Source organism: Homo sapiens, chromosome 9 (assembly GCF_000001405.40).
Source record: "Homo sapiens chromosome 9, GRCh38.p14 Primary Assembly".
NCBI lineage: Eukaryota > Metazoa > Chordata > Mammalia > Primates > Hominidae > Homo > Homo sapiens.
In genome coordinates this window covers 65,646,030-65,670,840 of record NC_000009.12, presented here as the reverse complement: position 1 = coordinate 65,670,840, position 24,811 = coordinate 65,646,030, and the positions used below count along the sequence as shown (strand labels likewise).

The 24,811-nt window shown below is 37.8% G+C and overlaps 1 protein-coding gene and 1 pseudogene across 4 annotated transcripts in view; one reads left to right on the top strand and one right to left on the bottom strand.

The window, feature by feature from the left end:
• Positions 1-17,862, bottom strand: part of ZNG1E (Zn regulated GTPase metalloprotein activator 1E) — an 81,063-nt gene extending 63,201 nt beyond the window's left edge. The window contains exons 1-4 of one of the 3 annotated variants that reach the window (XM_047422963.1): positions 8,166-17,862; positions 6,317-7,843; positions 4,409-4,851; positions 1,770-1,898 (exon numbers count right to left, since the gene is read on the bottom strand). The gene's annotated coding sequence lies outside the window, so the exon portion shown is untranslated. Of the gene's footprint in view, positions 1-1,769; positions 1,899-2,739; positions 3,729-4,408; positions 4,852-6,316 lie in introns of those variants that run through there. The other 2 variants (XM_017014456.2, XM_024447453.2) reach the window with 2 other exon arrangements.
• A 317-nt stretch (positions 17,863-18,179) lies between these two features.
• Positions 18,180-23,933, top strand: FRG1KP (FSHD region gene 1 family member K, pseudogene; annotated as a pseudogene). The gene is made up of 4 exons (NR_189594.1): positions 18,180-18,266; positions 21,469-21,557; positions 22,536-22,645; positions 23,824-23,933. The product of NR_189594.1 is annotated as an FSHD region gene 1 family member K, pseudogene (transcript).
• Positions 23,934-24,811: the final 878 nt, after the last annotated feature.

The following is a 24,811-nucleotide window of genomic DNA, read 5'->3' as shown; positions in this document are numbered from 1 at the left end:
TAAAGTTTTCCTTTCAACATGTATAATTTTCACATCACGAAATAATAATCTTCTTTAATTTTTTTTCCAATGTATTAAAAATGTAAAAACCATTTGCAGGCTACACAATAAATGGTAGCAGGCTATAGATTCCCAACTCCTGATCTAAGCTAATATAATATACTGTTTTCTTAAGCAGAGTTAATGAAATTTTGCAAAATTGGATCCTCCTTGCTCTTTTAAACTCAGTTTGTAAATCACTCACCATTAAAACAATCCTGGACCCTCAAAGGGTTAGGTACCACTGTGCCAATTACCACAGTGCTAATATTCAGAGGAAGATCTGAAGCTGAGAAGCTTAAACTTTTTTCCCAAGGTCACTAATACCTGGCCTGGGAAAGACCTAATTAAGGTGAAACTTGAGTCTTTGCATTGTAGTAGGAGTCCTCCTAGGTGGGAGCAGAGCAGAGCAGATAAGCTCTTAAACTGTCTGGATTTCAGCAGCTCAGCTTTCTGACAATAACCTTGCCATATGTCCTTTGGCACAATTCCCTACTAATTCCCTACTACTCCCCTTTGCTTGGTTCTTCTCTCTTGAATAGTTATGTTAATCACCATAAGAAAAAGAACTGTAGCTATATCCAAATAAGAAGAAAGCTAAAAATAATACCAACTTGGTTTTGTTTTTCGTTTTTTTCTTTCTCATTTTTGCAACTTCCTGCAAAGGAAACAACATACTAGTGGCCAGCAATAGCTACTGGTTTAGAGGAAAGGAAACTGAGAGTTTCAAAATTAACCCAGTTCCTCTTATCTAGCTGTGGCAAGTAAATAAATAAAATATTTTTAAATGTTTAAAGTTTATCAGTTTATTTAACATTTTTCATTGGGTACACATGAACTTGTTGGGAACATATCTAAAAGGCCAGAGGCCAATGGCTTGTATTCTTGTGACTGCTTTGGTTAAGGTTGAATATCAATATTCAAGTGTCATATAGTCGTCTTTTAAGATATACAACCACTGTAAGGACAGGAAAGAATATTTCCTCTCCAGAATACTGAAGATGACTAGCAGGTGAAAAATGTACATTTCAATGTTTTTAGGGGCTGTGACATTAAAGGCTGTAAGTAACATTGTTTGAATTCATTATCTTTGGTGGTTAAACCATGCTATTAATAAGTCTTAGCTTACAGTTGAGTCACTTGTAAGTCAGCTTGCCATGAAATTTAAAAAAAAAAGAAAACACCATTCAAAGCCCTCAAGCTGACAAGTTGAGTGGTGCACCAATCTCTCTAAAAGAAACTATATTTTAGATACTATAGGAGTGGTGGAATGACAGGAGTGGAGGTTGGGCAAAATGAAAAAAAATGTTTTGCAATGATGTATGGTGTAATAGTATAGGAGAGAGTCTAAATAATTTCTTCCATTGTCATTAGAAATTTTAAATGGACATTTGTGGCTATAAGTTTCACTTTCTAATTTTTATAGTGTTAGAGAAGCATATTCCAAAATCCATAGGCACCTGCTCATAATTCCTTACACGTAAGTAAAAGGCATGAAACAAATGATCCATCTCCATTCTTCCTTCCCCTTTCTATTCCCTCGAAGAGTGTTTAATCATACTTAATTGAAATACCATGCTACTGGCAAAGCCAGGTCTTTCTGGCTTCAAGACCAGGGTCTTTTGAGTCCTATAGCTCCGTCTTTCAGTCATTGTCTTAGACCTTTTGTGCTGCTATAACAAAATATCCAATACAGGGTAATTTATAAATAATAAAAATTTATTTCTCACAGTTCTAGAGGCTATGAAGTCCAAAATCAACGTGCCAGGAAGTTTGTGTCTAGTGAGGGCTGGTCTCTGCTTCCAAGATGGTACCTCAAAAGCTGTGTCCTCCTGAGGGGATGAACACTGTGTGTTCACCTGGCAGAAGGAGACAGAAATAAGCTTTCACATTGTTTAAGTTTCTGTTTATGCCACTGAAACTAATCCTAACCAACTTATTTGATTAATTGTTTTTTAAATAATATAAGTAGGCTGTGCACAGTGGCTCATGCCTGTAATACAAGCACTTTGGGAGGCTGAGGGGAAAGGATCTCTTGAGGCCAGGAGTTCAAGGTCAACCTGGGCAACATAGCAAGACCCTGTTTCTACAAAAATTTTAAAACTTAGCTGGGCATGGTGGCATGCACCAGTAGTCCCAGCTACTCAGGAGGCTGAGGTGGGAGGATCACGCAAGCCTAGGAGTTTGAGGTTACAGTGAGCTATGATCACTGCACTGCACTCCAGCCTGGGTGAGAGAGAAAGACCTTGTTTCTTATTAAAATATATATACACACACATATATATATATGTGTGTGTATGTATATATATATAGTATTTATATATAAATTATGTATTATACCTGAATGTATTATAACTATAAAAAATTCAAACAGTAGAAAAGTATTAGGATAAAACGTGGAGTATCTTTCACTAACCTCAATTTTACTTCCCTTCACCGATATTACATAAACACTGTGAGCAATTTAATAGACATAGGTCCAGATTTTTTTGGTCCAATATTACCTTTGCCCCTGCCATGTTAGGTATTTTTCTGTAGGAGAAGCAAGATTCCCTCCTGAAAGAATATTCCTGTTTAGACTAAGTCTCATGTATATGAATATATGTATTTGCATACATGTGCATTCATAAAATTATAACAGAAAGATAGAGTACATTTGTATACATATGTGGCTTTTGTTTTTAATAAATAGGAACATACATAGGCTTTGTTCTGGAGCTTGCTTTCTTCACTTGACAATATGCACTGATACTCTTTCCTTCTCACTAGAATTAGAAATACATCATTCATCATTTTTTTTTTTTTGAGACGAAGTTTTGCTCATGGTGTCCAGGCTGGAGTACAATGGTGCAGTCTTGGCTCACTGCAACCTCTGCCTCCAAGGTTCAGGCAATTCTCTTGCCTCAGCCTCCCAAGTAGCTGGGATTACAGGCACCCGCCACAACGCCTGGCTAATTTTTGTATTTTTAGTACAGATGGGGTTTCACCACATTGGCCAGGCTGGTCTTGAACTCCTGACATCAGATAATCCACCTGCCTCGGCCTCCCAAAGTGCTGGGATTACAGGTGTGAGCCACCATGCCAGACCATACATCACTCATTTTTTAAACCACTTCATGTTATTCCATAATAGAGATGTAACTATTTCATCATATCTTCAAAAGGGACATAAAGATTGACTAACTACCTCTTCAAAACATGCTCGAAAGTAAATTCAACATATTATCAAGAAATATAAGAAAGTATGTTGATTAGCCATAGCTTGTATGTTTAATAATAAACTTTATTCTTATTCTCCTTTGATATTTTAGACTGGTTAGCTTCGCTTATTAAACTAGTTTACTTCAGTTATGGAAATATCAAATTCAATATATTTTAATATTAATTTCTTATTAACAGTTCTGGTTACTTATAATTAATATGATTCTACCCATATACTTTATTTTTATAGCAAACTCATATTTTGGATTGTGTATTGCTATCCATAAATTTACACATGTACTTTCATAATTTAATTGTGGTTAATGAGTTTTTGGCAGCAGTATACAATACACAGATTAAAATTAATTCTGAACTGATGCTAGAAGAAAGATGAGTTCACATATTGCATCTTGATAATAGTGCTGGTTTGTGCCTAAAGTATAGCTTAGCTATTCATATCCCTGGGTAATACCACTGGTGGGCCGGGTACGGTGGCTCACATGTGTAATCCCAGCACTTTGGGAGACCAAGACAGGTGGATCACCTGAGGTCAGGAGTTTGAGAACAGCCTGACCGACATGGTGAAACCGTGTCCCTACTAATAATACAAAAATCTGCCGAGTGTGATAGCACACTCCTGTAATCCCAGCTACTCGGGAGGCTGAGGCAGGAGAATCGCTTGAACCTAGGAGATGGAGGTTGCAGTGAGCCAAGATCGTGCCATTGCATTCCAGCCTGGGCGATAACAGAGAAACTCCATCTCCAAAGGAAAAAAAAAAGAAAAAAGAAACTGTTAGTAAGCAGAATATTATTAATCTATATGCTTTTACATCATAATGGTTCCTTTTACTTCATGTATTTTTGTTCATGAAATTCTGTAAATCATACAAGCTACAGATGGTGACAGCAGTAGAAATATAAATTTTAGCACACTTGTGTATGCATTAATATGTTCAAAATATATAAAGAAATGGTATTTATATAAATAAATACATATAATTATTTGATCATAATCAGAGGTTAACATGGGTTACCTTTTGGGGAGAGGAAACAGCAGAGGTGATATGGTTGGCAGACAAAGAGGGTATGGAGAAGTAATCTCCCACTGTATTAGTCTGTTTTCACATTGCTGGGCAATTTGCAAAAGAAAGAGGTTTATTGGACTTACAGTTCCACATGGCTGGAGAGGCCTCACAATCATGGCAGAAGGTGAAAGGCATGTCTCACCTGGAAGCAGACAAGAGAAGAGAGCTTGTGCAGGGAAACTCCCCTTTTCAAAACCATCAGATCTCATGAGACTTATTCACTATCACAAAAACAGCATGAGAAAGGCCTGCCCCCATGATTCAGTTACCTCCCACCGGGTCCCTCCCACAATACATGGGAATCCAAGATAAGATTTGGGTGGGGACACAGCCAAACCATACCATTCCACCCCAGCCCCTCCCAAATCTCATGTTCTCACATTTTAAAATGAGTCATGGCTTCTCAACCGTCTCCCAAAGTCTTAATTCATTTCAGCATTAATTCATTTCAGTGTTAACTCAAAAGTCCACAGTCCAAAGTCCAAAGTCTCATCTGAGACAAGGCAAGTCCCTTCCACCTATGGGCCTGTAAAATCAAAAGCGAGTTAGTTACTTCCTAGATATAATGGGGGTACAGCATTGGTAAATACAGCCATCCCAAATGGGAGAAATTGGCCAAAACAAAGGGGATACAGGCCCCATGAAAGTCTGAAATCCAGTGGGACAGTCAAATCTTAAAGCTCCAAAATGATCTCCTTTGCCTCCATGTCTCACATCCAGGTCATGCTGATGCAAGGGGTTGGTTCCTATGGTCTTGGGCAGCTCTGCCCCTGAGGTTTTGCAGGGTACAGCCTCTCTCCAGGTTGCTTTCACAGGCTGGCATTGAGTGTCTGTGGCTTTTCTAGGTGCACAGTGCAAGCCGTCCATGGATCTACCATTCCAGGGTCTAAAGAACAGTGGCCCTCTTCTCACTGCTCCACTAGATGGTGCCCCAGTAGGGACTCTGTTTGGGGGCTCCAATCTCACATTTCCCTTTCACACTGCCCTAGCAGAGGTTCTCCATGAGGGACCCACCCCTACAGCAAACTTCTACATCTTCTGATATCTAGGCGGAGTTTCCCAAACCTCAATTCTTGACTTCTGTGCACCCGCAGGCTCAAAGCCATGTGGAAGCTGCCAAGGCTTGGGGCTTGCACCCTCTGAAGCAACAGACAGAGCTGTACTTTGGCTCCTTTCATTCATGGCTGGGATGCAGGGTATGAAGTCCCTAGACTGCATACAGCAGAGGGACCCTGGGCCCAGCCCACGAAACCACTTTTTCCTCCTAAACCTCTGGGCCTGTGATGGGAGGGGCTGCCATGAAGAACTCTGACATGCCCTGGAGACACTTTCCCCATTGTCTTGGGGATTAACATTCAGCTCCTTGTTACTTATGCAAATTTCTGCAGCCAGCTTGAATTTCTCCTCAGAAAATGGGATTTTCTTTTCTAGCACATTGTCAGGCTGCAAATTTTCCAAACTTTTGTGCTCTGCTTCCCTTATAAAACTGAATACCTTTAACAGCACCCAAGTCACCTCTTGAATGCTTTGCTGCTTAGAAATTTCTTCTGCCAGGTACCCTAAATCATCTCTCTCAAGTTAAAAGTTTCACATATATCTATGGCAGGGGCAAAATGCCCCTAGTATCTTTACTAAAACATAAGAAGAGTCACCATTGCTCCAGTTCCCAACAAGTTTCTTGTTTCCATCTAAGACCACCTCAGCCTGGACTTTATTGTCCATATCACTATCAGCATTTTGGGCAAAGTCGTTCAACAGGTCTCTAGGAAGCTCCAAACTTTCCCACATATTCCTGTCTTCTGAGCCCTCAAAACTGTTCCAACCTCTGCTTGTTGCCCAGTTCCAAAGTTTCTTCCACATTTTCAGGTATCTTTTCAGCAGCGCCCCACTCTACTTGTACCAATTTACTGTATTGTTTCATTTTTATGCTGCTGATAAAGACATACCTGAGACTGGGCAATTTGCAAAAGAAAGAGGTTTATTGGACTTACAGTTCCACATGGCTGGGGAGGCCTCACAATCATGGCGGAAGGCAAAAGGCACATCTCACATGGAACCAGACAGGAGAAGAGAGATTATGCAGGGAAACTCATCTTTTTAAAACCATCAGATCTTGTGAGACTTTTTCACTATCCCGAGAACAGCACAGGAAAGACCTGCCCCCATAATTCAATTACCTCCCACCGGGTCCCCCCACAACACATGGGAATTCAAGATGAGATTTGGGTGGGGACACAGCCAAACCATATCACCCCCCCCAAAAAAAATCCCGTTTAGATTAAGTTTTATGTTTATGAATATATGTATATGCATACATGTGCATGCAGAAAATTATAACAGAAAGATAGAGTATTACATATGTAAATATGTATTTTTTATATGTACTGATTTGTAGAATAACAATTATAAGTGATATAAGGTGAAAGAAGCAATTTGTTCATAAGTATGCAGTATGATTCCATTTCAGTAAAAATTAACAAAAACATGCTTGTATGTGCATGGGCATATATTAATATGTGCTCATATATATATATGCTATACATATATATATATGTATGCTGATATATGTATGTGGAAGCAATATGTTTGTGATGATACACACCCTTGCAATAACATGAACTACCTCAGGGAGTACTATAGATGACAGAGACAATGGGGGAAGAGGAGCAATGTTACCTTAAAAAAAACTTTGCATCCTATTACTGGTTACAAGAGGCATATAAAATTATTTTTAAAATTTTAAATAAATATGTTAGCAACCTTTGTATGGATGGAAAATTTTAAATATGTATGAAAATACTGATTGCGTATACCTTTTGAAATTCTACTGATAGGGATTTATCCTACATATTTACATATACAAACATTTATGACATTCATAGCACTATTGTTTTAAAGGTGAGATGTTGGAAACATCCTAGCTATTTAACTATAGGGGAATGGCTAAATAAGTTTGGCTCACTCAAAGGATACCATGGAAGAGCAAGGCTTTGCATCGTATTTCGATATGAAACTGTTAGAAGCACCTTTATTTTGAATAGCCTCTAAGAAAAAGTTGGATAGAAAGAGTCTAAATGAAATATTCTGATTAATAACAGAACCTATACTATAAGATGGTGAATTTCTGATCAGAAAGGTGAAAAGTTCATCTACAGCTTAAGTGGACAAATTTAATTTTCTATAACATTCATATCTGATAGATTAAATAAACAGGTACAATTTCCTTAAGAAACATGCTTTATAAGTTTTATGGTCACTACATTCTTTAAAGTTAAGGGTTACATTCCTGGGAGATTAAATAAAAACTGCAAAGTTAACAGTTGACTTGCCTGAGGAGCTACTTGTTCTTCCTCAGTAAACATTGGAGAGAAAAGCAATATAATATAACAGAAACAGAGCACTCATCTGATAAACATTTAACAGCAAAAGGGGGTTCACAGGCCTTTGCCCTACCTGGCTGGTGTCCTTTGTTCGTTGTACTTCTGAGGTTGCCAGAATGTAAATGTTCATTTCACTATCTTAAATGAGCAGAGTAATAACCAGAATCAGACTTTGAATTCTAAAAGCTCTTGGATCAAGAAGATTCTGTCTTTCCAACGTTTGCATCAAATAACATCGTGACCTATACTATCTTTTTTAATATTAAGTGAAGCTTAATCAAAATTTTAGGTTTAAAATACAAGAGTCATTAAAAAGATACATTGTTAGGTAGAAAAACATGCAGAATAGTATGCTGTTTCATTTGGAGGGGAGGAAAAGAAAATAGAAAATGCTTAACATAACAATTTTTATTTTTATTACTTCATGTAAGAACTTCTCTACAACCACTGATTTTCTTACTTGCTTTCTAAGCAATGTAGAATTTTCGTCACCACTTCACCATTAATTTCTTGTTATTAATCCATTGCCGTTTTCCCAGCTGAAAGAGAAAACTTCCTTTTAATTTTCTAACTCATTTTGAAACAATTTCAACTTACAAAAGCTACAAAAATAGTAGAGGTTCCCATATACCCTTCACTGTGCTTTCCTGAATGTTAATATCTTACTATCACTACCATGATCAAAAGCAGGTAATGAGCGTCGATACGCTACCATTCACAAAACCAGAGACCTTATTCACATTTTGCCAGTTGTCCCACCGAAGACCTGTTTCTGGGCCAAGACCTAATCCAGAATCCCACATTGCATTCAGTTGTCACCTCTCAGTCTACTTTAATCAGAAGCATTGCTCAGTCTTTGTCTTCCAGGACCTTGACACTCTTGAGGAGTACTGGTCAGTTGTTTTGTAGAATGTTCCTTCACTTGGATTTGTCTTATGTTTCAGCATGGTTAAATTCAGGTTTTATATTTTTGGCAGGGATACTACAAGTTGATGTTGCATCCTTCTCTGTGCATCACTTCAGGAGGCACATGACATCCACCTGTGCTTTTACTAGAATGTTAACTTTGTCAGCAGGGTTCTGCCACAAGAAAATTACTGTTTCCCTGATGCAGTTAATAAGTACCTGATGGGGAGATACTTTGAAACTATGTAAATGTCTTGTGTTTTCATCATACTCTAGCCCACAGTTGATCATCCATTATTCTTTTTCAAAATTACAGCTTTATTAAAGCACAACTTAGCCACTCATTTAAGTGTACAACTCAATGAGTTTTAATAACATTTATACAGTTGTGCCACAATCATCCCAATCCAGTTTTAGAACACTTTCACCATCCCAAAAAATTCCTTTGTGTCTGTGTACAATTAATCTCTTTAGCTTAGGCCCCAGGTAACCATTGGTCTGCCTTCTGTCTTTGTTTATACAATACACTGAATTTTTTCTCATTATTTACTTGCTTGACTTTTTACTCTGAACAAATATTAGTTTATGAGTGAGAAGACAATTTCTAACACATTGTTTGGTATATGACACAGGAAAGACACTGACCAGCCTGGAAGTCAAGAGAAATAATGGATTCTTTAGTGTCAGACTAAACATAAACTTTGAATATTCTAGATATTAGCAGAACCTAAATTATCCAGTTGCCTTAGATCTTCAGTTAATTCATAAAAATAATTCCAATTAAATTCTTTCTCTGAATTTATAAAGTCAAAAGCATAACCTTTGATCCTTATAAGCACAAAGCAATTTTGATTTTATCATGTCAACATGCCTTAGAAAAATGGTAAGGTCCAGGGGTTTTGTTTCTTTGTTTTTTTCTTGTTGTCATTTTGTTTTGTTTTCCTTTGGTTTGTTAGTTTTGAAGGCCTTCACTTTTTGGTTTGCTGTTTAAAATTATTTTCTTCCGGAGCCAATTTTATTAACCTAGTGAAATATAATTTCAAGGACATTGTGTCTTACCCACACCCTCCAAGGTATGTTTTATATAATAAGGCAATGTTGTTAAAATCAGGATAATTTTATTTTTAAAAAACGTATATATCTAGCATCTCTCAAAAGAAAATCCTTAGATCTAGCAGTACATGGCCCAAGTTTCCACAGCTGGAGCAAGTTGTGGCCATCCACTTTAGATAGAATATGTTTTTTGGTTTGCCAAGGCCCCACCTATTCCCTATTGAATCACATCACAACTGCTTCATTCTTGTAAGCTCCTTATCTAGCCCTGTTGGACACTTGAGTTTGTTTATGTATTTATTTATATATAAATTTTTATTTTATATATATATATATATATATATATATCTGTATAACCACAACCACAGATGTGTGCATATTAAAATTTAACTATTTTCCATAGTTAAATTTTGGCAGGGATACTACAAATTGATGTTGTAGTATCAATTGGCAGGGATACTACAAATTGATGTTGCCAAGGCCCCACCTATTCCCTATTGAATCACACCACAATAGCTTCATTCTTGTAAGCTTCTTCTCTAGCCTTTCTGGACACTTGAGTTTGTTTATTTAGCCTTAGTAAAGTAAAGCTCACTAATGTTAAAGTTACAGGTATCCTCCCCAACACATAAATACCGAATACACTCTACCATTTCTATCTCCCCACACTTCCAACGTTTAATTTTGGTTAGATTATTTCTTTTTCATTATCATGACTATGTAAACAATATCCACAGATGAGCTTTATAGTATCCTCTGATTCTTTTTTCATTCCTACTCAACTTTTTATTTTCCCTGAAATTAATAATTTTATGAGTTATAATTTTTAATGAGTTTTTATTGTAGTTTTGGTTGCATAATACCATATATATTATCATTAATTCATTCCCAAGCTCTTAAAAAGTTGCTTAAATCTCCTTTTCATATGTTCAGATGAATCCAGTATTCTTTTAATTTCATTTTCTTCAAGAAATCTATCCTAGGGTCTTGTGATCTGCTCTGTGTTGGAAATTGTTGCCCTTTATGTTACATGCACAGCTCAGGGATCTTGCTGCAGATTCCCTTTTCTTCTGTCTTGTGCTGAATTCCCTTGATTCCTAAATCCTATGTTTTCCTCTTTCACAATTTATACCTTTATTTTTTGTGGAGCACATCCTCTAGTAGCTTCCTGAGAAAAAGTGTGCATCGAGTGAACTCTTTGAGACCTTGCATATCTTAAAATGTTTTTAGTATATACATAGATTCAGTTGATGGGGTGGCTCGTTCAGTAATCAGGCTACATTAGGCTATGCTACAGCAACATATCCCTAAAGTCTTAGTGGCTTAATATGAGAGGAGTTTATTTCTACTTGCATCCCAGACCAAAGCAGGCCAGCTAACACTCACACAAGGCTACTTTCATTGGGCAGTTCCAGAAGTTGGGAGTCCTTCACTTCAGCTGTCAGAATGAGGGGGTGAGAGTGCAGAGAAGGCACTACTACTCTTAATTGTCTCAGACTAGAAGTGGCTTCTTATCCCATTCATACTCCTTTTGTGACTATTATTTATACTATCTGGCCTAAGTCCACAGGGACTGGCAAATGTAGAGATGAATATTTGTTTACTTCATATCCTCTGACACAGTGAAGTTGAGAATTCTGGGTTGGAATTCTTTTCTCTCTCTTTTTTTTTTTTTTTTTTTTGAGACGGAGTCTCATTCTGTCACCCAGGATGGAGTGCAGTGGCATGATCTCGGCTCACTGCAACCTCCACCTCCTGGGTTCAAGTGATTCTTCTGTCTCAGCCTTCTGAGTAGCTGGGATTACAGGCATGCGCCACCACGCCTGGCTAATTTTTGTATTTTTAGTAGAGACAGCGTTTCACCATGTTGGTCAGGCTGGTCTTGAACACCTGACCTGGTGATCCATCCTCCTCGCCTCCTAAAGTTCTGGGATTACAGGCGTGAGCCACCATGCCTGGCCTCTTTTCTCTTTTGAATGTGGTAGGCACTGCTCTGTGTCTTCCAACTTCCAGTCTCCCAAATTGCTGGTGAGAAACCAGTTTAATTATTGACTCTTGGGTATGAGTACTTCCTGTCTTCTGAGCACGGAAACACATAGGATTTTCACTTTGTTTCCAGTTTTTGTAGGCTGAATTGTGTCCCCTGCCCCACTTTCCACCAAAATTCACTCAGTGAAGCCCTAACCCCCAGTAGTTTAGAATATGACTGTATTTAGACGTGGGGCCTTTAAAGAGGTAATTAAGGTAAAATGAGGTCTAATGGGCAATTCTTAACCTAATATGACTGGTGTCCCTTTAAGAAGAGGAGACGAGGACACAGACAACACTGACCAAGGGAAGACAGTATGAGGACACAACTAGAAGGCAGCCATCTGTGAGCTAAGGAGAGAAGCGTCAGGAAAAACGAAACTGCTGTCACCTCGATCTTAGACTTCTAGCATCCAGAACCATGAGAAAACAAATTTCTGCTGTTCAAGCCACCCAGTCTGTGGTGTTTTGTTACTGCAGCTCTAGCAAACTAATATATCGGTATTTTAAAATCGCACAAATAATGTGCCTTGGGATGGGTCTAACTCCATTCTTTTTTTTTTTTTTTCACTCAAGTAGTCTCTTACAATCTGAGAACTCATGTCCTTGGATTTTCTTGAATTATTTTATTGATTATTTCCTTTCTTCTCTTATCTCTGTTGCTCTTTGTGGATCTCCTCTTATTTAGATGTTGGACTTCTTATTTTAGTCCTTTAATTTTTTTCTTTTTCTTTTCTAACTCTCATTTTCTATATTTTTGCTCTGCTTACTGGGAGATTGGCTCAAATTTATCATCCAAACTTTCTCTGAATTTTTTATTCTACTATTATTTATTGTTCAAATTTCCAAGAGCTCCCTTTTTGTTTCTTGAATGTCCCTTTCTGAAATAGCATAAGACTGGTTCGTGGGTGCAATACAATATCTCCTCTTACGCCTCTGTGGATATTTTTTAAAGTTGTGAATCAATTGAAACTTTTTACTTTTTACTTTTATTGGTACATAATAGGTATTTATATTTATGGGGAACATAAGTTTTTTTTTTTTTTTTTGAGACGGAGTTTTGCTCTTGTTGCCCAGGCTGGAGTGCAATGGTGCGGTCTCGGCTCACTGCAACCTCCGCCTCCCAGGTTCAAGTGATTCTCCTGCCTCAGCCTCCCGAGTAGCTTGGATTACAGGAATGAGCCGCCATGCCCAGCTAACTTTGTATTTTTAGTAGAGATGGGTTTCTCCATGTTAGTCAGGCTGGTCTCAAACTCCCGACCTCAGGTGATCTGCCCGCCTCAGCCTCCCAAAGTGCTGGGATTACAGGCATGAGCCATGTGCCCGGCAGGCATTTTAATGCAAGTATACAATGTGTGATAACCAAATTCAGGTAAATGGTATATCCGTTGCCTCAAGCATTTATCCTTTTTTTGTGTAACTAACATGCCAATTATACTCTTTTAGTTATTTTAAATGTATGGTAAATTATTGTTGACTGTAGTCACCCTGTTGTGCTAGCAACTATTAGATTTATTCATTCTATCTAACTATATTTTTGTACTCATTAACCACCCACCTCCCACCACAACTACCCTTCCAGCCTCTGGTAACCATCATCCTACTCTATCTCCCTGAGTTCAACTGTTTTCATTTTTAGGTCCCACAAATGAGTGAGAACATGTGAAATTTGTTTTTTTGGGCCTGGCTTATTTCACTTAACATAAGGTCCTCCAGTTCCAACCATGTTGTTGCAAATGACATTTCTCATTCTTTTTTATGGCTGAATAGTACTCCATTGTGTATATGTACCACATTTTAAAAAAATCTATTCATCTGTTGATGGACACTTAAGTTGCTTCCAAATCTTGGCTATTATGAATAGTGCTACAGTAAACATGAGAGTGCAGATATCTTTTCAATATACTGATTTCCTTTCTTTGGGGTATATATCTAGCAGTGGGATTGTTGAATTATATGATGGTTCTATTTTTAGTCTTTACAGGAACCTCCATACTGTTCTCCATAGTGGCTGTACTACGCTCTGTGGATATTAATAATAGTTTTCTTCTCCCAGCATAGTCTTGGTTAGTTCCAAATTATTTTCTTTGTTTGTTTGTTTGCTTTGGTCTCTACCTTTCATGCTGGTAGTTCCCCTTAGATGTCTGATAATCTTTGGTAGTCTATTCAAATTTAGGAGTGAGGTACTAAAAGACCTTATTGGAAGTTCTGATTCCATGAATGAAACTTCTTGTCCACCAGCTTCAACTGGGTCATCTGGCTGGGCCATTTAGTTGGGTCATTCTCGACATCAGCATCTTTATGTCTTTCCTCTGGAAGTGGTCAGATACCCCAGAGAATAATTTTCTAATCTCTAGTGGTCTGGAATTAGAATGGGGTAAAAGACATGGGGTTCTGTTAGCTTATAAATGTTCCCATAAATTTTCACTACCCCTTCATTTATATTACTGAACTCCATCCCCAAATGTGCCAAATGTTCTCCAGGAAGTAAGTTTCTCTATTTACCTTTTCCAGCCTCTGCCAGGCTGGGAGAGGGACCATTATCTGGCTATACAGGTTTGAAGAGAGGATGTAGGGATCTAACAACTTCTTATACAGACTTATAACCCAATCCTCCTATTTTTGACCCTACCTTTATCCCCATTTTCAGTGGTATCTGACATTTGGAAGCTGTTTGGGAGGTCTATGATGTAGTCAGGTACTTCTGAGTTTTCTCCAAGACAAATTTAGGGATCATCTTTCTCAGGTGTGTTACCTCTTGTCTATATGGCTTCTGAATTCCACAACCTTGTTGTTCTTGTCTTCCTTTCTAATTTCATCATCATTGTGGGTTTCTGCCTTAAAAAAATAATCCCTTTACTGTCATTTTATTAGGTTTCAGAAGAAAGCCAAAGTAAGTGCATTTCTGTAATTGATCACCTCTACTCAGTAGTCTATTTTGCATTTTTACAAGGAAATGACAAGTTTACTCAGGAGTGTTTGAAGACAAACAGGCCTGCTTTATAATTTTGTTACTGGCCATCCCTACCTTCAGTGCACTTGGTCAACAATTACGTCCACAAAACAGAAATTACAACTCTGACTCGTGCTTTTATCTGAGGAACCACAAGTCATTCACTTGTATGGTTCACTTGTCAACTGTAAGGGAAACTCTAACTGCTAATAACTTTAACTATATAGCCAAAAGGATCTTGTAAAACTCTTCCTATCTTCCTAGCTTTAGTCTTTGCATATAGTTCAAGGTTACTACTAACACTCCCCGACACCTGATTTTCTTCTGAAATACCAAAACCTCCCATTTTTGAGTGTTCAGTGTGTGCTAGAGACTGGGATAGGCGCATTTACATGGATGATCCCATTTAATCCTCCCCAAAACTTACAGTGTCTGGGCCAGGTGCGGTGGCTCACGCCTGTAATCCCAGCACTTTGGGAGGCCAAGGCAGGCGGATCATCTGAGATCAGGAGTTCGAGACCAGCCTGGCCAATATGGTGAAACCCCGTCTCTACAAAAAATACAAAAATTAGCCAGGCATGGTGGCGTGCGCCTGTAGTCCCAGCTACTCTGGAAGCTGAGGCAGGAGAATCGCTTGAACCCAGGAGGCAGAGGTTGCAGTGAGCCAAGATCGAGGCACTGCACTCCAGCCTGGGCAACAGAGCAAGACTCCGTCTCAAAACAACAACAACAACAACAAAACCCTTATAGTGTCCATGTTATTATCTGTATTTTACAAAGAGGAAAATTGAGGCTCTGAAAAGTTAAAGGATTTGTTCAACTTAACACGTCTATTAAGTGGTGAAACTAGGGTTTGAATCCAAGTCAGCCTTACTCCCAACCACTTTCCACTTCATTATGTTGTCTTATTGATGACTTCCTGCCAGGACTTCCCAAGTGTTCATTTTCATGTCTGCAGCTCATTTAATTACTTTTAGTTCCTTTTTCATTTTCCAATCCAGTCATCTATACTATTACCCTATGTCAGTGAATGACATCCAGTTGGTTCAGTATTTCAAAATTTCTGGCCCACCTTCTCTTCTCATCTGTATCTGGTTACCTTTTTATCCACCTTATATATCATTTCCTAGGAAAGATTCCATGACCTCCCAAGGATTGACTTTGTACTTTTCATGTGCTTTTACAGCACAAACAGAATCCTCTTTGCCCTATCAAGGTAGTAATTACCAGGTATAGAAATTATCTGTTTGCTTATTTACTCCCCAACTACACTAGGCTCCTAAGGACTGTGGCAATATTAATCTTATTTATGAGTCATATCTACAGCCTAGCACAGTGCCTGGCACATAGCAGGTGCTCACTACATATTTTGTTGAATGAATGCATAAATGAATGAGGTTACACACATACCTCTATGACATAGTTTGGATATTAGTTCCCTCCAAATATCATGTTGAAATTTCATCCCTAATGTGGGAGGTGGGGCCTAGTTGGAGGTGTTTGGGTCAGGGGGGCAGATCCCTCATGAGTTGCTTGGTGTCATTATGTTAGGATTGAGTGAATTCTCACTCTTAGTTCCTGTGGGATCTGGCTGCCTAAAAGAGCATGGCACTCCTCCCCTCTCTCTTGCTCCCTCCCTTGCCATGTGACATGCCTGCTCTCTCTTGGCCTCCCCCCATGGTTAGAAACTTCATGAGGTCCTCACCAGAAGCAGATGCTGGTGCCATGCTTCTTGCAGAGCCTGAAGAACCGTGAGTCAAATAAATGTCTTATTTTATTAAATTACCCAGCCTCAGATATTCCTTTATAACAATGCAAAATGGATTAAGACACTCGTATTTATTAGTCCATTCTCACAGTGCTCGGCTATTTATAAACGAAAGAGATTTAATTGACTCATAGTTCGGGGAGGCCTCAGGAAACTTACAATCATGGCGGAACGGGAAGCAAACACATCCTTCTTCACATGGCAGCAGCAAGGAGAGGTGCTGAGCAAAAGGGGGAAAAGTCCTGGATAAAACCATCAGATCTCATGAGAACTCACTCACTATCATGAGAATAGCAGCATGGGCTAACCGCCCCCATGATTCAATTACCTCCCACTGGGTAACATGTGGGGATTATGGGAACTACAATTCAAGATGAGATTTGGGGGGGACACAGCCAAACCATATCACACTCTGTCTGAATTATTAATAAAATATTTTCTAATCTAAAGTAATGTTCCAATGATATTTTAGCATTTGACACTAAGTTTCAAAAATTTAAATTTAAATGAAAGAGGGTCTTAAATCTCTATTGCAAAAAGGACTCAGCTGAATAATCTGCGGCACAGGTTTAAATCGCCTTGGACCACACCGCCATGTTCCAGGGCTCACCGGGAGCCATCGAGATGAGAGACCACCCAGCCCTTGTGACTTGACTAAGAAATTAAATCCATATTATCAGCACGTTTTTAACTGGATGTGATATAAGGTTAACATATTTTGTAATCATTGTATTTATAAATATTTTGTCTAAATGTTATTGTATTCCAAGTTTTCCAAAAGAATCAACCAAATACAAGTTATAAATAAACACTATATTTGTTACGGGAGTTAAGCTAACCAAATTTATAACCCAGATTTAGATACACAAGAAAATCAGTTTTTAAAGTTTTGTTTAATAGAAAGCAGTGTAATACATCAAACATTAAACAACGAAAAATGTGTATGAATATTTATTTATTTATTTATTTTTTAAGCAGAGTCTGGCTCTGTCGCCCAGGCTGGAGTGCAGTGGCACGATCTCGGCTCACTGCAAGCTCTGCCTCCCTGGTTCATGCCATTCTCTTGCCTCAGCCTCCCGAGTAGCTGGGACTACAGGTGCCCGCCACCACACCCGGCTAATTTTTTGTATTTTTAGTAGAGACGGGGTTTCACCATGTTAGCCAGGATGGTCTCGATCTCCTGACCTCGTGATCCACCCGCCTCGGCCTCCCAAAGTGCTAGGATTACAGGCGTGAGCCACCGCGCCCGGCCATGAATATTTATTTTCACACACAAAAGTCCCTCAGACATTGATTCTTAAATTCAAAACACCAAAGGCATTGTATATGCCTTTTCATGTTTTCTAATTGTGAAGAAAATAAATTTTACTTAAAATGCTAATATTTGAATAAAGTATGCATTCATAATTATGTTCTTGTCTTTAAAGTTAATTTTTCAAACAGAACTAAATCAGTTTTATCTTCAGTAGATCTTTTAGAAAGGAAGCAATCCTACCTCATCTAATTAGAGTTTAGTCCTACTAGGAAGATACACTACAAATATTTATTGTGGCAATCTTTGAAAGCAAAATGAAAGGTGATTTTGGTTTCCTTTTCTATATGTTCTTGTATTACATTTTTCAGGTTTTTCTCTAAGTTCTTTTCTGTGATTTTTAAATCAGGGAGGAAAAATTCATTCAGTCTAAACACTTAATATTTCTTCTACAAGAAGTATCCTCATGGCTATTTTGTTATTTTGTTTCACTTAGGGGAAAATGGATTTGTTGGCCTCAAATAGCTGCTTTATTAGATGCAATGAAGCAGGGGACATAGAAGCAAAAAGTAAAACAGCAGGAGAAGAAGAAATGATGAAGGTAATGATGACATTTTATACAGATGACTGCATTCACACATGCGATGTGACTGTATCTCTTTAAAATGTTAAGTCATCATTTACTGTCACTTTGAAGATTTACTTAATAGCTTTTTATAATGTGGTGTTTCAAATAGACTCATTTTTAATTACAAATCGCATAGTTGATGGCTTGTTTATACAGTGTGGTAGAGAAATCAGTGCATCTAGGAGCTACCTTGCCATTATCTCCATGGATTAGTATCTTTTACTGGTAGTTCCACATGCTCTTTTTATGCTTTCATTTTCTTGTTTTCTTGCTTGTATTTTAAAATCTAATTTTTAAAATAGATAACATGTACACGTGGTCCAACATTTTTAAATAAAAGCATAAGAAGATGAAGACATATGCCTGCCATGCATCTTGCTCACCTATGTCCCAGCTCCTGTTCCTCTTTCCCTTTGTTTTGTTTTTTTATAGCCTCCTAAAATTTCTTTATAAACATATGAATATATTTATAATTTTCAACTGTCTTACACTAAAGGCAGCCTCCTCTATAGTTTTCTCGACTTTGATTTTTTTTTCTTTAAAATTGTATCTTGGAGAGTTTTCTACTATTAGTTTGAATGTAGAAAGCTTTCTCTTTTTCTTGCTTCTCCTCTCTTTCTCTCTCTCTCTTTTTTAACGCCACATAATATTCCATTTTAGGGATGTACCTTTATTTATTTAGTCTTTTATAGATGGAAATTTAGGCTGTTTCCAGTCTTTTGCTCTTATAAACAGTGCTGCAGTACATAACATTGAATATGCATCAATTTGTAGATGTGCGGGTGGACCTGAAGATAAATTTCAAGAAGCAGAATTACCAGGTCGGGGTACACGCATTTGTATTTATGTAATGCTTGAGCTTCTGTGATGATAATCACTCTATGAAACATAAAAAATCATAGCAGAACTTCTGGGGCCTTAGCCCTTACATTTTAAAAATATTTTTAGTAATAGTACCCGTCTTCTTTGCATTAGGAGAAACATGAATCACATAAAACATGATTTTTATTTTATTTTTAAAATTTGTGTGCGTCACTAAGCTGGAAATAAAAGTTCCTTATTCCAGGCTAAATTCCCTCATCCGTAGTCAGACGCGTTATCCATTGCACCAGTGGCCTGTGCCCTCCCTAACCCTACTCTTTGTTTTACATCATTGTAAAAGTTACACAGACATCTTCATATCAAGGTGAAATTCTAAATAATACTGTTAATATAACCTAGATAAATCAGGTAGTTAACTGGAATTTGATGAAAACATTTAAGGCTTAATTTTTTAGACTCACAAAAGCCACTGATCTTTAATGATAAACATATATCAGGATGTGTCTAAAGAATAACTCCCCCCTTCTTGACACATGGCTTTTCTGTGTCTTGGCATTCCATCGCAGTACTGAGCATCCTGAACCTTGCTTTGTTTGTCTCTTTTGGGAATCACTGGTTGCATCCAGTCTGACCCAGATTTACTCTGTCAGGCATTGTGGGGGCCAGAGTGGAAGGCTCTAAGAGAGGGGGCAAATGCCTTTTCTAAAACGGCCTTCGTTCTTATAATCAGAGCATAAAAATTTATGTTACGTTTTTCTCTACTACCAGTGTAATTTAAAAGCATCTATCAATTCTCTGTATGTGCTTCATGTTAGATTTCCGGTCATATGTTTGATTTTCTTTTTAGAATAGTCTTGATTTCAGATAATTTCAAATCTAAAGCTCAAACAATTTCAATCTAAAATGTAGGTATTTTCTTACAGTTAGAGAAGTGAAGTGTTATATTTTTTCGTTGCATGCATCCGGCACATGCGTTGCAGTCTTGAATTTCCATAATGCTCCTGTGAGGTGGATGTGAGCTCAGCCTTACAGACAGTAAGACAGCCTCTGACCCTCCTTACATCCTCGTGGTTTTTGTCAGTCAGTTCATGGAAATCACAGTGATTTCAAGGTGTGGTAAGACAGGATGTGTACCCAGGCCCAGCTGACTCCAGAGGCCAGTCTCAGTATTTCATAGCACATTGCTTCTCAGGAAACAGGTCATGGAGGAAATGCAGATGGGTTTGTGACTTACATTTAATTTAATTTATTTATATTTTATTGTATCATGTTTAAATTATTTTTCATCTGGATATCATCACAAAAGTGTTATTGAAGGCAACAATTGCAAATATATGTGCAGTGCTTTGCACTTATACAAAGATACAAAGATACTTACACAAAGATTGCATTTTTCACTGTTTAAAGCAATTTTCAGATGAAATACAAAGTTTTCTGGGTCTCTTTGGTTAGTCAAGTACTTGGAAGCTCTGAACAGTGATTATTTAGGACTCTTTTCGTACCATTTAATTGCAGGCTCTCCTAATCTCTGTCAGCCCTTCACCTTTATGACCTTGCCTTATCTACCAGAACACAGATCCCTCTTACTAAAGGTAGCATTGTGCTACAGGCCCTAGCAGGGAATGTTTTCAGGTCTGGGACCCCTCTAATAAAAACTGTCACAAAGATGTCATTGGCACAAACACGTTATTTGTCATCACTTTCTGAGCAGCCCTGGAACTAGACTCTGGCCACAGAGATCCCTTAGGAGACATGAGTCCTTACCATTGCCAATTACCTGTTCTGTGGGCGATCCTAATTGTTGAATGCAGATCAATTAACTTATGACATGTGATAGTAAACATCTATCCAAACTTAGGAGGATATAAGAGCTAGTAAAAGAGGTGGGTTCCAATTAATTAAAAACAAGTTGTGTAATGTTAAAAGTTTTAATACTTTGGTAATAGTCTGTGCAATCTAAAATAGCTATTAAGCTTTCAATCTGATCAAATGAACACTTGTCTACTAGGGATAATTTGATCCTAGTGTATTGACTTGGAGGACAAAATTAAATTAGTTAATGATTGCTTTACTGCCTAACAGATCTGATGTGTAAAATTTTTCTGAAATAATTTTGTCTGTAGTGTTTCTGACACAAGGGCTGCGGAGGAAGCATGTGATAGCACTTACTCATATAGATTATATATATGAAGTAAAAACACATAGCCAGAACCTGTCTTTTTCTGAATATAGTTGCTCAGTTAATTTTTTCTTCTGCATAAGAAATCATCTCGAATGTTCTTATGTGATACGTAAAGTGGGGAAGGTGGAAGATAAACATATAACCCATTGGATTCTCTTTTCCAATATCTAGATTAGATCCTGTGCTGAAAGAGAAACCAAGAAAAAAGATGACATTCCAGAAGACAAAGGAAATGTAAAACAATGTGAAATCAATTATGTGTATGTATGCTTTTCCTTTTAGACCTACAGATTTGACAGTGAAGTGCTTCTCAAAGTGCTTTCAAAATAAATTACCTAATTAGCTGGGGATGGTGGTGCATGCATGTAGGCCCAGCTACTCGGGAGGCTGAGACAGGAGGATTGTTTGAGCCCAGGAGTTCAAGGCTGCAGTGAGCTCTGATCACCACTGCATTCCAGCCTGGGTGACAGAGCAAGACCCTGTCTGAAAAAATGAAAACTGATGGACAAGAAGAGGCAACACAATGTAGCCTCTGGGACAGAGCACTGAGCTAAATGCTTTTCTTTTCTTGAGGGTTCAGTTTTCCTAATCATCCTACCAGCTCCCAAAACTAGTCAGTCGGGTTAGTCAATCTCTCTATTCATTCATACAATGGGAGTGATGCCAGTCAAAGGCTGTGCTATGGCCAGGACACAGGGGACTCCAGCCAGCATGCCCTAATAGAAATGGGGCCTTGTGCTACCCAGTCAATGAGTGGCCCTCCTCTTGAGAGGTCACCTTTGTTGTTCAAAAGCTCCAGCTTATTTAAAAAAATATAATTAGACTTTTTTTTTTTCTCCCCCAAGACGGAGTCTCGCTCTGTCCCCCAGACTGGAGTGCAGTGCCATGATCTCGGCTCATCGCAACCTCTGCCTCCCAGGTTCATGTGATTCTCCTGCCTCAGCCTCCCGAGTAGCTGGGACTACAGGCACACGCCACTACGCTCGGCTAATTTTTGTATTTTTAGTAGAGACGGGGTTTCACCATGTTGGCCAGGCTGTTCTCGAACTCCTGACCTCGAGTGATCTGCCTGCCTTGGCCTCCCAAAGTGCTGGGATTGCAGGCATGAGCCACTGTGCCTGGCCTACAATTAGACTTTTTTAATAAGTGAAAAAGAAATTAACAGTATTTATAAATTTAATAGTAAATATGTATAATCAGAGTTTGAGGTTTTTTCAATGAAGGCATTTTCTTTGCAGAAAGAAATTTCAGAGCTTCCAAGACCACAAACTTAAAATAAGTCAAGAAGCAGTAAAATTCTTAAAAAGACGCAGAAAGATGGATTTTTGCATGAGACGCTTCTGGACAGGTAGCTATTTATGTACTTATTTCCACTATTTTCAGTAGCCAATAGAAATGGCATATAGAAAACCTACATTCTCTTAAATTACTGTAGTTTTCACATTTTTGTCTTTATTTCTAATTTATGAGTGTGGCAATATTACCTAGAGAGGACATCATGAGTTTGGGAAAAGACTTTCAAGAAAGAATATCTAAAAATTATAACCGATTCTAAACATATACTTTAAGAAATTCAGGTTTGACTGTATCTACTTCATAAATTTATCATTATATTTTTATAACTATTAGAACCAGAGTTAGAAAGAAGCAGTTTGACTAATATAAAAATTATGTGGATTCTGTTAGAGTAGTTCAGGTTCCTTAAAATAAGCATAGATCAACTAAAAAACTAAGTATAAAAGCTAAACAAGTGAAATTGAAGCAGTTTTATTGTAAGATTTGGAAGAGTGCAGGATGTTTATCATAGCACATTATTAATATTTATTACTATTCCTATGTAGATAAGTGATGTCCTAGATTTACAACATAGAAAAACAGGTAGAGACGTTTAGCTGTGAGTGTACAAGTATAAATCAATTAAGTGTCAGATTTTGATAATCACCAGCCGCTCATTCAAGTCCTATGTTGGAAAGTTACTCTTACCCTTTTTTTACATTACTTGATAAAGTCAATGTTTAATTACATATTTCCTGTTAACTAGCTGGTAGAGTTCATACCTAAAGTCAGTAAATAACGTTAAGAACTTTTTCCAGCTGAGCAAATGAGTATGTATCTAGTTGTAAGAAATCAAGAAGAGGATATAAAATATAATCAGGATGTGGAGTCTAAAACGGAATAAGCTCTATGTCCTGTAACTTTTTTCACTTGTAATAATACAGCGTTCTCACCCTGTTAAATGGAAATTTAGAGCACCCTTAAATTCCAGAATAATTAAAATTGCTATTTGGATTGAAAAAGCCCTTAGGCAACATTTATTGAATATTAGGAAATAACTTTTATAAGATTAGAATCCATTTTTTATAGAAACCAAATTTAAAAGTATACATATTTTAATATAAGTGTTGTGGTAATACACTAACCAAAATTGAACACACAGTTTTAAAGCTTTTTATATTTAGTAGCAGTTGAATATATATGACATGTTTTACATAGATTAATTTTACTATTTTTCTTTATTTAAACAAGAGAACCAAATTGAAAGCTGACAGATACTGCAAATGACTGGGATTTTTGTTTCTGCCTTATCTTTTTGTGTTTTTTTCTGAATAAAATATTCAGAGGAAATGCTTTTACAGAGTTCTTGAGTTGTTGTGAACTTATTGTTTAGCTAGTAGCTAGTTTAACCAGGATTAAACAAGTTTAATCAGGATTCTTCATGGATGTACTTTTTAGCTAACTACAGTTTTTCACATGGAAATGAAACTTACAGTAAACACTTAACGTACCACAGAATTTTTTTCTGGATTTCTGGTCCTGAAGCATGAAGTGTACTAGAAACCAATTCTTCCTGCGCTACTTGTGGAATCTTTCTTACTGGATCATAATCTTACTTTACTTTATACAATAGATGCTTAATCAGTGCCTTTAATAGGAAGTTAGAAACTCCCAATCCAATCAACAAGGCTTTGATTCTACCTCCTAAGTACTACCCAGATCACAGACAATCCAAATATCAGAACTAGGGGGCTGGGCAGAGAGGACAAATCATCTATTAGGGAGTGGGACAGAAAGTGGAAACATTACAAAGGAGCAAGTAGGCTCAGAACAGAGGGGAGAGTAATACTGGGGAAACTCCCTACTGAGGACAGGTTTGCCACAGTGGATATGTATGTGATGCTTTTGTCCTCATGGGCTGGAATGGAAGCTGATAAAGAAGTTCAGACGCTACGTGTTGCTTAGGTCTGCTTTGTTGAAGCATGTCTCTTTCAGAGTTCCTAAACACAATATTCCCGTGGCATCTAATCCCAGTGAGTGCTCCAAATCCAGGCTGTGTATCAGATGCCACGGGAAATTCTGCCTCAGGACTGAGGTTGGTTCAAGCATCTGGATGATGTCAAAAGTCCACGTTGCGTGCTGGCCTAACCTGAAAGACCCTATCTAGTTCTAGCCTTTAAATTCCTTCTGTCACCAAATCTAGAGTTACATGGCATCTGTACAAGCTAGGTAGCTGAGG